We start from the raw sequence: 18,517 nt of genomic DNA on the forward strand, positions 1-18,517 counted from the left end.
TTTTGAGAAATGTCTGTCTATTCAGGTTCCTTGCCCATTTTTAAATTGGATTATTTATTTTCTTTCTATAGAGTTGAGTTCTTAATATATTTTAATACTAACCCTTTAACAAATAAATGGCTTACAAATATTTTCTCCCAATCTGTATGATGTCTCTTCATTCTGTTGTTTCCTTTTTATGCAGAAGCTTTTCAGTTTGATGTAATCTTGTCTATTTTTGTTTTTGTTGCCTGTGCTTTTGGGGCCAAATCTAAAATATCATTGCCCAGACCAATGTTGTGTAGTTTTTCCTATTTTTTTCTAGTAGTTTTACAACTTCAGGATTCATGTTAAATCTTTAACTCATTTTGAGTTGATTTTTCCATATGGAAATCATGTGGTCTGATATCAGGGTGCTATTTCATTCTTCTGCATGTGGATAACCAGTTTTCCAAACATAATTCATTAAAGAGACTATCCTTTTCCCATTGTGTATTCTTGCACTTTTGTCTGAAATCAACTGGCCATCAATGTGTGATGGGAACTCTTAAAATCTACTCTCTTAACAATTTTCAAGTATACAACATATTGTGAGCTATAGTCACCACAATATACAATAGCTTTGTGGTGGAAGTACATTGAATAATTATTTAAAAATATATACTTTGCTTCCAGAATTTCTACAACGGGCTGGGCACAGTGGCTCACACCTGTAATCCCAGCACATTGGGAGGCCAAGGCAGAAGGATTGCTTGAGCCCAGAAGTTTGAGACCAGCTTGGGCGACAAAGCAAGATTCCATCTCTATAAAAATAAATAAATAATTTTCCACTAGAACCTGTATTATCTTTATAATCACAAAAAATAACAGACACAGACAAGCTAACAAAAAGACAACCCAATTTAAAAAATGGCAAAGGACTTGGATAAACATTTCTTCACAGAAAATATACAAATGACCAATAATCACATGAAAAAATGTTCAACTCATTAGTTATCAAGGAAATGCAAATCAAAAACACATCACATGCACATTAGGTTAGATACAACGAAAAAACCGTACAACAACAAGGACTGGTGAGGATATGAAGAAAATAAAACCCTTATACACTGCTGGTGTGTATCTAAAATGGTGTAGCTACTTTGGAAAACAGTTTGGCAGTTCATTAAACAAAGTTACCATATGACCTAGCAATTCTACTCCTAGGTATATTCCCAGTAAAAATGAAAATATATGTCCACGCAAAAGTGTTTACACAAATATTCATAGAAGCACTATTCATAATATCAAAAGGTGGAACCAACTCCAATGTCCATCAACAGATGAATGGATAAACCATATGTGACATACCCATAGCGTGAATTGTGTGGCCATAAAAGAGAATGAAGTATGGAAATAAGACAGTCACAAAAGACTACACACTACATGATTCCATTCATATGAAAGTCCAGAACGGGAAAATGAAAGTAGATTTGTGGTTGCTTAGGGCTGGTGGGGGAACAGCAGGTAGGATAAGGGGGTGATAAATAAAGAGCACAGGGTTTCTTTTTGAGGTGATGAAACTGTTCGAAACTTGACTGTGGTGATGGTTAAACATACCTGTGAATATACTAAAAATCACTGGACTGTACACTTGAAATGGGGTGTGTGATTATATAAATTTAATTACATGGTATGTGAATTACATCTCAGTGAAGGTATTTAAAAAAAAATGCATGAAGTTTCCTTAACAAAAAGACAAAACGAAGAAACCAAAAGCCATTATGAAAATATTCTTGGTTTAACTCCTTATTTTTTATTTATTTTATTTTGAGATGGAGTTTCCCACTATTGCCCAGGCTGCAGTGCAGTGGAATGATCTTGGCTCAGTGCAGCTTACACCTCCCAGGTTCAAGTGATTCTCCTGCCTCAGCCTTCAGAGTAGCTGGGACTACAGGCGTGCATCACCACGCCTGGCTAATTTTTACATTTTTAGTAGAGACAAGGTTTTGCCATGTTGGTCAGGCTGGTATCAAACTCCTGACCTCAAGTGATCCGCCCGCCTCAGCCTCCCAAAGTGCTGGGATTACAGGCGTGAGCCACCGCACCCAGCCTCAATTTAACTCCTTATAAATAAATGTAATTCAAAGCCAAGAAGACTGGTGCATGAATTACTTCACTAATAAGATTGTAAACAAAATTATGTATTTAAAAAACACGGACACACAAAGAGATGAAGAGCCATGCAGTTAACGTTCAGTACCAATTATTGTTTAACTCTACTTACTGCTTAACTCAAAGTTTCTTCCTAAGAACTTCATACATCTGGGAAAAATTATTCGTGAGAAATCTTTGTGTTACTCAACATGATGGGGTAAGTCATCAATTTTAGTCTGAAAGAAGGAAGTCATGGGAATCTAGAGCAAGCCTGCCTGCTCTCTGTGAAAAAGGAGTATTTAATGCAAAAGAAAGACAATAAAAAAGAATGTCAAGTATTAAATGCCAATTGAATTCATTCTCCTATTCACACTAGAATTTAGACTGAACCCACTGTGAGCCAGATGGCTGCATTATGGAAAAACAACAGGAACCCAGAGTTTGGTAGTTGATTTTTCTGGCCTAGGTCTACTTTTTTTGGCCTATGTTTTATGTTCTACACCATCTTTTGTTTTTCCTGTTCTTGAAAAGGAAAAAAACCAAATATTTTAAAAATGCCCCCAAGTTTTGTTTTCCTGTTAGTTTTGTTGCTGTTGTGCACTTCGTTTTTGGGATTTTTGTGTGCTTTTTCAGTTTGTGTACTTTCCCTCACTGTTTATCTCTTCTAACACCCATTCATCATGACTTCTCCCTACTCCCACCATCCCACAGGCAAATTCAGTGTTTCCTGGGTTTTCCCAGAATTTACATGACAGGCTGGTTACTCAGCCCAGCCCCATCTCTTTAACCCTTAAAATACAAAAATTAGCTGGGTGCGGTGGCACACACCAGTAATCTCAGCTACTTGGGAGGCTGAGGCAGGAGACTGCTTGAACCCAGAAGGCGGAGGTTTCAGTGAGTTGAGATCGAGCCACTGTACTCCAGCCTGGGTGACAGAATGAGACTCTATCTCAAAAAAAAAAAAAAAAAATTTTTTTTACGTTTAAAATGTTAAATGTTCCCTTTCATAGTTCACATCGCAATAAAGAATAGCAGTAGTCCTTAATCTGAATTGGAAGCATTTAATTTGGGTCCTATTTACAACTTTAAGAATGGAGGCATACTTCAGGAAAGAAAGCACCAGTGCAGTTCCAATTTATTATTGTATCTGCTGTCTTGAGAGTACAGGGTGTATGAGAGTGCACAGTGGTTTAGAATCACTATAGAATTTAAAAAGACCCAGAGACATTAACAAGAATCCACATTCTAAGTCGTCAGAATCCACATTTCTGACCTTGTCTGCTGGGGCCTGCTCTGTTTTTGATGGCTCAAAATATAATTCTTTTATTGAAATACATGTTCCTCATCCTGTTTCAGGGCTTCTGCCTGGAATGTTCCTCCCCCTAGCATTTGTAGGGCTGGCTCCTTCCTGTCATGCAGGTCTCAGCTCAGATGACCCCATCTCAGAGAGGGCTTCCCTGACCAACCAATCTACAGCCCTTCCTAGTCACTTTTTTCCACATCACCCTCTTTATGCATGGAGGCAGATAGGTGTTTTACCCTGTTTATTTATTATTATTATTTTTTGAGACAAAGTCTTGCTCTGTCACCCAGGCTGGAGTGCAGTGGCACAATCTCGGCTCACTGCAATCTCTGCCACCCGGGATCATGCATTCTCCTGCCTCAGCCTCCTAAGTAGCTGGGATCACATGCACACATCACCACACCCAGCTAATTTTTGTATTTTCAGTAGAGAGGGGGTTTCACCATGTTGGCCAGGTGGTCTCGCATTCCTGACCTCAAGTGATCTGCTCCCCTCAGCCTCCCAGAGTGCTGGGATTACAGCCATGAGCCACCGTGCCCAGTTTATTTATTTTTAATCACAACCCAAAATCATCTTTTTAGTTGTTTACTTCCTTATAGTCTACGTCTCTCCACCTGGATATTATCTTCATGAGAGCAGGAACTTATTCATCTTATTTACCACTTCATGCCTTGTGCCTAAAACAGTGACTAACGGAGTGGGCAGTCCAAACTAACAGCTGTTCACTGAGTAAGTGAGCATAATATTGCATTATTTTCCTACATTTCATTCCTTTAAACAAAATTGGATGATGTTAAAAATTACCAGCAACGGGTTCCAAGATGGCCGAATAGGAACAGCTCCAGTCTACAGCTTCCAGTGTGAGCAATGCAGAAGATAGGTGGATTTCTGCATTTCCAACTGAGGTACCAGGTTCATCTCACTGGGGCTTGTCGGACAGTGGCTGCAGCCCACAGAGCGTAAGCCGAAGCAGGGCAGGGCACTGCATCACCCGGGAAGCACAAGGGGTTGGGGAATCCCCTTTCCTAGCAAAGGGAAGCCGTGACAGACAGTACCTAGAAAATCGGGACACTCCCACCCTAATACTGCGCTTTTCCAATGGTCTTAGCAAATGGCACACCAGGAGACTGTATCCTGCACGTGGCTCAGAGGGTCCCACACCCACGAAGCCTTGCTCACTGCTAGCACAGCAGTCTGAGATCAAACTGCAAGGCCGCAGCGAGGCTGGGGGAGGGGCGTCCGCCAGTGCTGAGGCTTGAGTAGGTAAACAAAGTGGCCGGGAAGCTCGAACTGGGTGGAGCCCACCACAGCTCAAGGAGGCCTGCCTGCCTCTGTAGATTCCACCTCTGGGAGCAGGGCATACATAGCTGAACAAAGGGCAGTAGAAACTTCTGCAGACTTAAAACTTGCTTGTCTGACAGCTTTGAAGAGAGCAGTGGTTCTCCCAGCACAGAGTTTGAGATCTGAGAACGGACAGACTGCCTCCTAAAGTGGGTCCCTGACCCCCGAGAAGCCTAACTGGGAGACACCTCCCAGCTTCCAGAGGAAGGATCAGGCAGCAACATTTGCTGTTCTGCAATATTTTCTGTTCTGCAGCCTCTGCTGGTGATAGCCAGGCAAACAGGGTCTGGAGTGGACCTCCAGCAAACTCCAACAGACCTGCAGCTGAGGGTCCTGACTGTTAGAAGGAAAACTAACAAACAGAAAGGACATCCACACCAAAACCCCATCTGTACGTCACCATCATCAAAGACCAAAGGTAGATAAAACCACAAAGATGGGGAGAAACCAGAGCAGAAAAGCTGAAAATTCTAAAAATCAGAGCGCCTCTTCTCCTCCAAAGGAATGCAGCTCCTCGCCAGCAACAGAACAAAGCTGGACGGAGAATGACTTTGACGAGTTGAGAGAAGAAGGCTTCAGACGATCGGTAATAACAAACTTCTCCCGAGCTAAAGGAGGATGTTCAAACCCATCGCAAAGAAGCTAAAAACCTTGAAAAAAGATTAGACAAATGGCTAACTAGAATAAATAGCATAGAGAAGACCTTAAATGACCTGATGGAGCTGAAAACCATGGTGCAAGAACTACGTGACACATGCACAAGCTTCAGTAGCTGATTCAACTAGAAGAAAGTGTATCAGTGATTGAAGATCAAATGAATGAAATGAAGCAAGATTATAAGTTTAGAGAAAAAACAGTAAAAAGAAACGAACAAAGCCTTCAAGAAATATGGGACTATGTGAAAAGACCAAATCTATGTCTGATTGGTGTAACTGAAAGTGACGGGGAGCGTGGAACCAAGTTGGAAAACACTCTTCAGGATATTATCCAGGAGAACTTCCCCAACCTAGCAAGGCAGGCCAACATTCAAATTCAGGAAATACAGAGAACACCACAAAGATACTCCTCGAGAAGAACAACTCCAGGACACATAATTGTCAGATTCACCAAAGTTGAAATGAAGGAAAAAATACTAAGGGCAGCCAGAGAGAAAGGTTGGGTTATCCACAAAGCGAAGCCCATCAGACTAACAGCGGATGTCTCGGCAGAAACTCCACAAGCCAGAAGAAAGTAGGGGGCCAATATTCAACATTCTTAAAGAAAAGAATTTTCAACCCAGAATTTCATATCCAGCCAAACTAAGTTTCATAAGTGAAGGAGAAATAAAATCCTTTACAGACAAGCAAATGCTGAGAGATTTTGTCACCACCAGGCCTGCCTTATAAGAGCTCCTAAAGGAAGCACTAAACATGGAAAGGAACAACCGTACCAGCCACTGCAAAAACATGTCAAATTGTAAAGACCATCGATGATAGGAAGAAACTGCATTAACTAACGAGCAAAATACCCAGCTAACATCATAATGACAGGATCAAATCACACATAACAATATTAACCTTAAATGTAAATGGGGTAAATGCTCCAATTAAAACACAGACTGGCAAATTGGATAAAGAGTCAAGACTCATCACTCTGCTGTATTCAGGAGACCCATCTCATGTGCAGACACACATAGGCTCAAAATAAAGGGATGGAGAAGATCTACCAAGCAAATGGAAAACAAAAAAAAGCAGGGGTTGCAATCCTAGTCTCTGATAAAACAGACTTTAAAACAACAAAGATCAAAAGAGACAAAGAAGGCCATTACATAATGGTAAAGGGATCCATTCAACAAGAAGAGCTAACTATCCTAAATATATATGCACCCAATACAGGAGCACCCAGATCCATAAAGCAAGTCCTTAGAGACCTACAAAGAGACTCAGACTCCCACACAATAATAATGGGAGACTTTAACACCCCACTGTCAACATTAGACAGATCAACCAGACAGAAAGGTAACAAGGATATCCGGGACTTGAACTCAGCTCTGCACCAAGCGGACCTAATAGACATCTACAGAACTCTCCACCCCAAATCAACAGAATATACATTCTTCTCAGCACCACATCGCACTTATTGAAAACTGACTACATAGTTGGAAGTAAAGCACTCCTCAGCAAATGTAAAAGAACAGAAATTATAACAAACTGTCTCTCGGACCACAGTGCAATCAAACTAGAACTTAGGATTAAGAAACTCACTCAAAACCGCTCAACTACATGGAAACTGAACAACCTGCTCCTGAATGACTACTGGGTACATAACAAAATGAAGGCAGAAATAAAGATGTTATTTAAACCCAATGAGGACAAAGACACAACATACCAGAATCTCTGGGACACATTTAAAGCAGTGTGTAGAGGGAAATTTATAGCACTAAATGCCCACAAGAGAAAGCAGGAAAGATCTAAAATTGACACCCTAATATCACAATTAAAAGAACTAGAGAAGCAAGAGCAAACACATTCAAAAGCTAGCAGAAGGCAAGAAATAACTAAAATCAGAGGAGAACTGAAGGAGACAGACACACAAAAAACCCTTCAAAAAAAAAAAAATCAATGAATCCAGGAGCTGGCTTTTTGAAAAGATCAACAAAATTGATAGACCACTAGCAAGACTAATAAAGAAGAAAAGAGAGAAGAATCAAACAGACGCAATAAAAAATGATGAAGGGGATATCACCACTGATCCCACAGAAATACAAACTACCATCAGAGAATACTATAAACACCTCTACGCAAATAAACTAGAAAATCTAGAAGAAATGGATAAATTCCTGGACACATACACCCTCCCAAGACTAAACCAGGAAGAAGTTGAATCCCTCACTAGACCAATATCAGGCTCTGAAATTGAGGCAATAATTAATAGCCTACCAACCAAAAAAAGTCCAGGACTAGACGGATTCATAGCCGAATTCTACCAGAGGTACAAAGAGGAGCTGGTAGCACTCCTTCTGAAACTATTCCAATCAACAGAAAAAGAGGGAATCCTCCCTAACTCATTTTATGAGGCCAGCATCATCCTGATACCAAAGCCTGGCAGAGACACAACAAAAGAATTTTAGACCAATATCCCTGATGAATATCGATGCAAAAATCCTCAGTAAAATACTGGCAAACCGAATCCAGCAGCACATCAAAAAGCTTATCCACCACAATCAAGTTGGCTTCATCCCTGGGATGCAAGACTGGTTCAACACATGCAAATCAATAAACGTAATCCAGCATATAAACAGAACCAACGACAAAAACCACATGATAATCTGAATAGATGCAGAAAAGGCCTTCAACAAAATTCAACAACCTTCATGCTAAAAACTCTCATTAAACAGGGTATTGATGGAACGTATCTCAAAATAATAAGAGCTATTTATGACAAACCCACAGCCAATATCATACTGAATGGGCAAAAACTGGAAGCATTCCCTCTGAAAACTGGCACAAGACAGGGATGCCCTCTCTCACTACTCCCATTCAACACACTGTTGGAAGTTCTGGCCAGGGCAATCAGGCAGGAGAAGGAAATAAAGGGTATTCAATTAGGAAAAGAGGAAGTCAAATTGTCCCTGTTTGCAGATGACATGATTGTATATTTAGAAAACCCCATCATCTCAGCCCCAAATCTCCTTAAGCTGATAAGCAACTTCAGCAAAGTCTCAGGATACAAAATCAATGTGCAAAAATCACAAGCATTCCTATACACCAATAAAAGACAAACAGAGAGCCAAATCATGAGTGAACTCCCATTCTCAATTGTTTCAAAGAGAATAAAATACCTAGGAATCCAACTTACAAGGCATGTGAAGGAACTGTTCAAGGAGAACTACAAACCACTGCTCAACGAAATAAAAGAGGACACAAACAAATGGAAGAACATTCCATGCTCATGGACAGGAAGAATCAATATCGTGAAAATGGCCATACTGCTCAAGGTAATTCATAGATTCAATGCCATCCCCATCAAGCTACCAATGACTTTCTTCACAGAATTGGAAAAAACTACTTTCAAGTTCATATGGAACAAAAAAATAGCCCACATTGCCAAGACAATCCTAAGCCAAAACAATAAAGCTGGAGGCATCATGCTACGTGATTTCAAACTACACTACAAGGCTACAGTAACCAAAACAGCATTGTACTGGTACCAAACAGAGATATAGACCAATGGAACAGAACAGAGCCCTCAGAAATAATACCACACTTCTACAACCATCTGATCTTTGACAAACCTGACAAAAACAAGAAATGAGGAAAGGATTCCCTATTTAATAAATGGTGCTGGGAAAACTGGCTAGCCATATGTAGAAAGCTGAAACCGGATCCCTTCCTTATACATTATACAAAATTTCATTCGAGATGGATTAAAGACTTAAATGTTAGACCTAAAACCATAAAAACCCTAGAAGAAAACCTAAGCAATACCATTCAGGACACAGGCATGGGCGAGGACTTCATGACTAAAACACCAAAAGCAATGCCAACAAAAGCCAAAATAGACGAATGGGATCTAATTAAACTGAAGAGCTTTTGCATGGCAAAAGAAACTACCATCAGAGTGAACAAGCAACCTACAGAATGGGAGAAAATTTTTTACAATCTACCCATCTGACAAAGGGCTAATATCCAGAACCTACAAAGAACTTAAACAAATTTACAAGAAAAAAATCAAACAACCCCATGAAAAAGTGGGCAAAGGATATGAACAGACACTTCTCAAAAGACATTTAGGTAGCCAACAGACACATGAAAAAATGCTCATCATCACTGGTCATCAGAGAAATGCAAATCAAAACCACAACGAGATACCATCTCACAGCAGTTACAATGGCAATCATTTAAAAAGTCAGGAAACAACAGATGCTGGAGAGGATGTGGAGACATAGGAACACTTTTACGCTGTTGGTGGGAGGGTAAAGTAGTTCAACCATTGTGGAAGACAGTGTGGCGATTCCTCAAGGATCCAGAACTAGAAACACCATTTGACCCGGCCATCCCATTACTGGGCATATACCCAAAGGATTATAAATCACACTACTATAAAGACACATGCACACGTGTGTTTATTGTGGCACTATTCACAATAGCAAAGACTTGGAAGCAACCCAAATGTCCATCAATGATAGAGTGGATTAAGACAATGGCACAGACACATCATGGAATACTATGCAGCCATAAAAAAGGATGAGTTCATGTCCTTTGCAGGGACATGGATGAAGCTGGAAACCATCATTCTCAGCAAACTACGGCAAGGAAGAAACCAAATACCGTATGTTCTCACTCATAGGTGGGAACTGAACAATGAGAACACTTGAACACAGGGTGGGGAACATCACACACCAGGGCCTGTCGTGGGTGGGGGTGGGGTGGGACAGCATTAGGAGACACATCTAATGTAAATGACGAGTTGACGGGTGCAGCACACCAACATGGCATATGTATACATATGTAACAAACCTGCACATTGTGCACATGTACCATAGAACTTAAAGTATAATAATAATAAATAAATAAAAGATACATGCACACACATGTTTATTGCAGCACTATTCACAATAGCAAAGACTTGGAACCAACCCAAATGTCCATCAATGATAGACTGGATTAAGAAAATGTGGCACATATACACCATGGAATACTATGCAGCCATAAAAAAGGATGAGTTCATGTCCTTTGTAGGGACGTGGATGAAGCTGGAAACCATCATTCTCAGCAAACTATCCGAAGGACAGAAAACCAAACACCGCATGTTCTCACTCATAGGTGAGAACTGAACAAAGAGAACACTTGGACACAGGGCAGGGAACATCACACACCAGGGCCTGTCGTGGGGTGGGGGGAAGGGGGGAGGGATAGCATGAGGAGATAATACCTAATGTAAATGATGCGTTAATGGGTGTAGCACACCAACATGGCACATGTATACATACGTAACAAATCTGCACGTTGTGCACATGTACCCTAGAACTCGAAGTATAAAAAAAAATTACCATCAATTTTCAGACGCAATCTCAAAAACATGAGTTGAACACAATTAACTTTCTGAGGAGTTGAAGCAGTTAAGTGTACTATGAATTCTTTAGTTAGAAAAATTCTTTTCTACATCCAATCTCTAGTTAAAAACTAGTATTGATATCTCTATGTCTCTCTGTGTATCTATCACTGTTTGTATCTATCAACATTTGCATCTATCAGTGAATCAATCAATCAGTCAATCAATCATTCATCTGTATCACCATTTGCAACTAAAGCAACCTGTCAGGCCAATTGGTTCCTGTCTTTGACTGACTTACAAACTCACAGAAAGTTTCCATCTAATATTCTTTTCACACATAAAACATTTTATCTAAAGTAAACAGAAGAAGGTAGTGTGACATACAGGATTATATACCTGATAAATTCTTTCCACTTCAGTAAGACTTTCATTGTTGCAATCGGGGGTAAAAATTGGAATACAGAATAAGCTGTTCCCAAATTTCCACTGCCTTCTTCTGTAGAAATCTAAATGCAAGCCAGGTCCAAGTGCTCAAAATGGTGGTTAAAAGTTCAGTAGTGCAGAATTAGATCCAATAAAGAATAAAAGGAAAAGGTACCTAATAGTGTAATAAAACATTTTTAAAATAAGACCCTCTCACAACTACCCATCCCTGCCATGAATATGGACAAAACTAACCTCACTAGAGTGGCCCAAATGACTAGGCCAAGGATGAATAACCAAACTAATGGCAATCGTAATAAATGGAACATACATGATTAAGAGATAAACGGCTTTGGAAAGGAGTTGGTGCAAGTTATGTCCAAGAAAAGAGCTTCAGATTGGATGATGGTAACCCAATCCTCTCAGATCCCTCTGTTGGGAAGTATCAATGCTATGTGATCAAGGAGACGGCTGTATCCTGAATGATATTGAGCTGCTGTTCTAGTTACTGATGAGATGTGCACTCCAATCTAGACCATGCCACATTTCCTTACATCCTTGCTCAAACCCATTATGAAAAATAATCTGGGCATGTGTCTTCCTTGCACTATAAAGTGTAAATTCATCCATCCACAGAATCTAAATACTCTGACTGCAAATGAAATAAGGGGAAATTATTTTCTATATAAGCTGAAAGTGTGTCAAACAAGTCCCTGCAGACAAGAATGTCAAAAGTACAGCTGTCTTCAAATAATGATTAGAGGACATAAAAAAATAGAACTGTTACATGTAACTCAGTGGTACATTGGAAAGCAACCTTTATTCCTATTGACTTCAAGTACCTATATTACTGTATAAACAGAAAAACAGCTGTAATAATGTATAGGATTGGAGCATAAACCAGTACACATCTGCAAAATGTATATATTAGTGTTTTGATAAGGCAAGTCAGCAATTACAAAATATCTATGTTGCTCCACAATTGAGTTCAACCAACCAAAAACATACATATCCTGCATACCTACTATGCACCAGGCATAGAGTGAGATGTTAGGATGAATAAATCATAGATTTCACTCTCAAGGAACTTGGAGACCAAAACAAGAGAAAAAAAGATTCTCTGAAATTCCAACGTGGTGAGTCCTATAAAAGTGATAGACACCCAACATTCTAAGGAGTACTGCAGGCAGTCTCCGCTTTTTCCAACAGTACATTCCTGGAATACACATCATAATGGAATTTGCCAAAGATGCTATTTTCCTAGTGAGAGGAAATATGGCGCCACAGAAACTGCACTAAATAAATAGCACCAAATAAATTGGTAAACAGTATGTTCAAAGAAACAAAGCTTCAACAATGGTCTATGTAACTAAAAAGAAAAACAGTTAAGCATCCATCCTATAAAAATACACAAACTTAACATGTTTCAAAAGTGTTTTCAAGATACAAAGAGGAATGCGACAGTTATGAGGCGTAAAACACATTGTGCAAAAACATTTTTAATAGTTGTATTATCTGTTCTCCTTCTAGAAAAATTTGAGGCAATGCTTTTCTTCTTTCTCAAAAAATTTCCCTGTGCTAGAAGGGGCATTTGAAATCATCCCACTGACTCTGGAGCTGCCCTCAAAGTATTCAGTTGATTTTTAATAATCATTCACAGTGAAAAGCATGTTTTAAAAGTAAGGCCACACCACACTTCAGACAGTGTGATAAAGAGACATAGGTTTTAGAATACAACTGGGTTTCAAATCCTGAATGTGACACTTAGTGTCATGTGATCTTGGGCATTTCCTAACCACTCTTGAGTTTCAATTTCCCCATGTGTAAACCAGAAATGACACCTACCTCACCACTGTTAAATTAGTAAATGTATGAGGAGTATCTTATAAGTTGTAGGCATTCAAAAATGGTGTCTATTGCTAATATTACTGTCTTTATGTTTCTTCTACCTCCTTTGTCTACCCAAGGTTAAAAGTTCAGTAGTGCAGAATTAGATTCAATAAAGGACAAAAGGAAAAGCTATCTAATAGTGTAATAAAATATTTTTTAACTAAGACCCTCTCACAACTACCCAATGATAACCACTATTACATTTTGGAGTAATCCCTCTAGACTTTTTTTCCTCTCAATGAAAACGTTTTCTGTAGAATTACTAAAACTAGAATTAAAGTATGTCCTGACTACGTACCACCAGACACCAGTCAAAAAGGCAGAGATAATGAAACAAAGAACAGCAGTAAACCAAGAACATAAACTAAGTGAAACACTGGGATGCCCCACAGGAATAAAAACTCCAGCAAGTTGCAAAGCAGCATGAAGGTACTTACTGCCACTGACCTTTACACTTTAAAAAAATGGTTACTTATGTATTTTATGTCATGTATATTTTGCCACAAAATAAAAAACAAAAGAACAAAAACTCCTAGAAGTTAAGGCTTGGTCCATTTTGTATTCTTAGAACCTAGGATGTGCTAGCTCATTAGAGTCCATAAATATTCCCTGACTAAAAGTAAACAAAACAAGTTAGTGATAGGATTGGTGTACCTTTTTCTAGTTTCCAACTCAGTCAACTGTGAAGATTAAGGGCAGTGAGAAGATAACTTAAAAATTGTTTACAAGAAACGTACCTTGATGATTTACTACTGATATTGATGACATCAGCCTGGTTCTTGCATCTTTCCATGTTAGTGAACTCAGAGGCCCAAGGCTTTGTCCCAAACTAAAATCACAGGGTAAGGGCCTCACCAAGTGTTTGGGTTGAGTCTGCCTAATGGGTGAAATGTAAGTAGGGTCTCCTTAGAGTCAGCAGAGGTATATTAAGGCTGCCATGGCTGACTAGTTTACAGTGACTTGTTTCATCAATAGGACCTGCAGACTTCTGTGCTGACATTTCATATCTACAGGCAAACTACAAAACCCTCACATCTAAAAATGTGCTTCAAAAATTCATAACATGAAATTCCGATACACTTTTTGTTTTAGAATTTATTGACATCTTTACAAGACTGAGGAAGATTAATCCAGTGAACTATCACTTACTGATGTCTACTATAGGGCACTAGGGCAGGTTATTGGGATTCATGGGTGAAGAACTCAGGGTTAAAACAGGTCAGTGAACCAGCTTATGCCTACTTCCCTGGCTGTTATTACTTCATGTACCCTAGACAAATGAAAATTTGTTTTTTTAATCTTTTAAAACTCACCTGTTGAGTTAGCACTGGAGTTGTGTGGAAGCCCAGAATTCTCTATGTTTGCAGATGCTGTAAAAATAAAGAAATATCCTGTTATGAAAGAACATTTAACTAAGAATACTGGCAGTATGTGGTTTTCTGCCTAGCGGGAGTAGGGGTAGTGGTGTCAGGAGGGTAGATTATTCCACAGGAAGTTCTACTTTGGCCCCTGTTGTTATGAAACATATCTTGAAGCTGTCAGTAAAAGGGACTGTATTACCAGGTTTTTCAAGATAAACATCTAGCTTACATAACAAACACTTACATAGTACTTACTATATACCAGCCACCGAATGCAACAGCTTTGCCAAAATTCATTTACCCACACAATTGGGGACAGATGGGCCAATTTCTGCCACTGAGGACTCTGCTCTTCTGAGTGGAGTGGACCATTTCAGGAGAGGCCGATTCTACTCACAGGCATCTCTAGGTCTTGCACCACCCAACCAACACCCCTAATTTCATACAATGGAGGGATAAAATAGGATTTTCTTATTTAACTGCACCTTCTCAGTAGGGTTTTAATTTTTAAATTAGTACACCTTTAGATTTGGAAAAAATGTAAGAGATTTCTATGTCCCAATTAAGCAACTTTTCAGAGTGCTTTATTCGTTTTGAGTCTTTGTCTAATGAAGATTAAATATGTATAACACATAGGGAGAGAGCAAGTGTATTATTGTGTCCTTTTCACAAAGATGAACTCTCCCCCACTTAAAAAAAAATCCTCCAAGTACAAAGAAAAGCAGTAACTTTGAAGGATTTATCTTTACTTCTTGGGCAAATTTCTTCTTTGTGAGAATTTCTTCTTCTTGATGGGACTATCATCTATTTATCACAAAAGGATACAGTGTAAGATTAACTTGAAAAAGATCAAGGTCAACAGACTACGTAGATGTATTTAGCAGCAGATAGCAAACAATTGCCAACATTATTAGGTGCTTACCACAAGCCAGGGTTATGTGCATTAGCTCATCTAACCCTCTCAACAATTCTTAGGAGTATTGTTTTGCAGACAAGAACTGAGGCCCAGAGAAGGCCGCCCAGATACAAAGTGGCAGAGACTGGAATTGGACCAGATAGTTTGATTCCTAAGCCTGCAGATATGAGTGCCAAAATGGAACTACTGATTTTCTACTATAAACCTGCTCCTCCCCCAACCTTCCCAATTGTTGCATTACCAGCTGCTCAACCCCAAAACCAAGAGGTCATCCTTTGATTCTTCTCTCTTCCTCATCCCACCCTCCAATCCATCAGCAAGTGATTAGTCCCAACCCCCCATAGATCTAGAATCCACCCTTTTATCTCCATTGCCACTCACCATCATCTTTTGGCTGGGCTAACACAACAGCCTGTTTTTGTTTCCCTGCTATTGTCGCTCTTAACGCGATGATTTCTTAATTTCTTGGCGACTTATTTGAACACTTGAATACAGCCATTTTCAAGCCACCTCAATCCTTGCACTTTTCAGTTACAAGTCAAAAAAGTCCCTTCTTTCCACAGTTGTTCAAGGTGGGTTTCTGTCACTTGCCACTAAGAGTAATGACTAACAGCCGCCCCTCCCATCCTGTTAATGTTAATGTCATTCATTGGAATACTACAATAAATCCTGTTTGCTGATTTGCAAACTTGCTCATAGTCTCCCTCCTCCTTCAACTGATATTTATAAAGCTATGCAGCTGACTGTGAAGAATATTTTAAAAGCAGAATTTCAATAATGTTTTTATCTTCTCCCACAATATTCTAGGCAATGGTAATACTGTGGAATAAAAGTATTATCTACTTCAAGAGCCATCATCATCTAACGCGGCTTAGTGGTGAAATGGTTAATTGAAAATTTGGATTTTGATCTGAAACCAAACATGTATTAATTGTTTTACTTGCCATAAATTAGCTTACTTATCTATAAAATGGGGACGATACTGTGAGGATTCAATGGGATGATTTATGGACCTAAATTAGCATAGCGTGGGATGCACAGAATATGTACCCAGTAAAAATCAGCCATTAAGAGTTTTAGTATGATGGCTAAAAATCACTATACTTCGTAATGACATTGTATACAGATTACACTATACATGAAGACTACGATTAACAGTTACTAGCTTTTTTGAGAAATCTTCTATTGTATACCTTTTAGTCTAGTTGCAAGGTGACATTATATAGTCTGTAGAAACAGATTCCACCTCTGGTTGGTTATACTAGTTTATGAATTCAGGGCTCGCCTACTGTAGAGCATTTCAAGTTTTGCAAATGGGACTAACCTCTAGTAAGACATTAAGTAATAAACAGAACAAACAGTGCTAAAATAGGGCAAAAAAAATCTGTGTTATCAGGGCAAAAGAAAGAAAAGCATGGTCACTCACAGTTTCTCTAATCGGTAATTCATTGAAACAGTAAGGCTTATCTTCACAAACACAGCAACAAATTTTTAAAAATGGAGACCTCACCTCATGAGATAATTGGTATAAAATTAGGACCAAGATACACGATGGACATGATTTTACCACTTTTTTTCTTAAATGATCTCAAAATTAGGTCTGCGAAGCCAGTTTGTCACACGCACAATTAAGCAAACAAAAAAACTTCAGCAAAACAAAGAAAAATTGTTAATTCACCCAGGTTATTCCAGAAAAAGCAAGTGTTGTGCCTGAACCTTCCAGATTTACAAACTGCCTTTTTCTTTTGCTGGATAAAACGAACCTAAGGCTAACATATACAGTGGATGGATAGAACTTAAAACCATGAAAACCTTGGGTTACTTAACTTATCCTAGTTTACTGACCATTACCTAGGGACCTGACTTCTCTAACAGTTGACAAAGGAAAACAGTATTTACACAACAAATCCCAACTTCCTGGTTTCATCCAAAAAGGGCTGTTTGAAGTCTCCAAAGGGCCAAGGGCCTAAAACGAAACAAATTCCGCCCTACACAGAAAAGCAAAGTCAACATCATCCTGTTACGACCTTACTAGCGACGACAAGGGCCACCGGCGACCGTGCAGCTGTGCCCTTAACGCTGCGCAGCTGCCGCGCGCCTCGGCCGGGTGTTTATGGCACACGAGGGGTGGAGAGCGCCCCGCCATGGGGGCGGCCGCCTCAACTACCGCGAGGGCGGGGCGCGCTCCCCAAAAGCTCCCAACTAGCTCCAAGAGCCCCGAAGTCTAACTTCGAGCGTCAGGGGGACCTAAAGATTGTAATTCATCTGGATAATACTGCATAATATTAGACGCTGAAATGCCTGGGGGACGCTTGAAAAGCTCCCCGACTAACTGGGAGACGTTTCCGCGGGCCTAGGTAGACATATTTTTCAACTCAGCTAATCTTGTTTACAAACGGAAGCCTTAGAAACTCTAACCTCGGCAAACATTAACTTCAGGGAAAGGCTGTAAAAACCAACTTGCGGTAACTCAACAGGTTATGCGCACCCGTCCCGGCCTGCGACCGCCGCATCCAAAAAGCGAGAGGGGAAGCACCAGGCAATTTCCTCAGCAGGCGGCCCCGGGGCCAGCGGGTGACTGGTCCAAACCTCAGTTTCCCCCACCCCGCCCGGTCACCTCTGGGTCCGCCCCGAGCGTTCGGCCAGACACACGCGGAACTTTCTGTACCAGAGCCCAACTTGGGAACCCAAGCCTCGGCAGCGCGCTGCCTCCCACGAACGGGGCTGACGACCCCCGCAGCCACTTACCCGCCATGGCTGCGCTTTCATGGGCGGCCCCCAGCAGCGCTAGCACCTGCAGCGTCCCCAGGAGCAGCGCGGCCCAAGCACCTCGCGCGCCGAGTCCCATTGTTCCGAGGGCAGGATGCGGCAGCCTCGTGGGCTCCCAGCCGAGGTGGCGGCGGCGAGAGCGGCTCCTCTGCGCAGCCGGCGCCGGCTCCGCTTCCCCTTCGGCCGCGCACGTTTCCCCTCCCGCCGCTTGCCCCCCGAATGACCAAATAGGGCGCAGGAGCGGGGCCTGGAGGGGGCGTCGCGTGCGCAGCCGGGGCGGCGGGGCCGGGCTGGGTGGCGCGGGGGCGGGCTCGGGGTTCTGGGCGTGGCGACTCGGCTCGCGGCCTCCCTCGCAGGCGCGCG

The 18,517-nt window shown here is 40.7% G+C and overlaps 1 protein-coding gene across 1 annotated transcript in view, besides 3 other annotated features; it reads right to left on the reverse strand.

Moving 5' to 3' along the window:
• The window catches only part of TMEM123 (transmembrane protein 123), a 56,434-nt gene extending 38,059 nt beyond the window's left edge, over positions 1-18,375 (reverse strand). Inside the window, exons 1-2 of the mRNA NM_052932.3 lie at positions 18,134-18,375; positions 14,422-14,478 (exon numbers count right to left, since the gene is read on the reverse strand). Coding sequence (NP_443164.2) covers positions 14,422-14,478; positions 18,134-18,233 — 157 coding nt within the window. The 5' untranslated portion in view covers positions 18,234-18,375. The remainder of the gene's footprint in view (positions 1-14,421; positions 14,479-18,133) is intronic.
• Positions 17,379-17,428: an enhancer, noted in NCBI's record as "active region_5445". NCBI's record gives its function as "activates an Ori minimal core promoter by ATAC-STARR-seq in GM12878 lymphoblastoid cells {active_cell/tissue: GM12878}" and the evidence as "EXISTENCE:reporter gene assay evidence [ECO:0000049][PMID:35858748]".
• Positions 17,609-17,898: an enhancer, noted in NCBI's record as "active region_5446". NCBI's record gives its function as "activates an Ori minimal core promoter by ATAC-STARR-seq in GM12878 lymphoblastoid cells {active_cell/tissue: GM12878}" and the evidence as "EXISTENCE:reporter gene assay evidence [ECO:0000049][PMID:35858748]".
• Positions 18,219-18,508: a silencer, noted in NCBI's record as "silent region_3861". NCBI's record gives its function as "represses an Ori minimal core promoter by ATAC-STARR-seq in GM12878 lymphoblastoid cells {active_cell/tissue: GM12878}" and the evidence as "EXISTENCE:reporter gene assay evidence [ECO:0000049][PMID:35858748]".

Source organism: Homo sapiens, chromosome 11, assembly GCF_000001405.40.
Source record: "Homo sapiens chromosome 11, GRCh38.p14 Primary Assembly".
In the NCBI taxonomy this organism is placed as follows: Eukaryota; Metazoa; Chordata; class Mammalia; order Primates; family Hominidae; genus Homo; species Homo sapiens.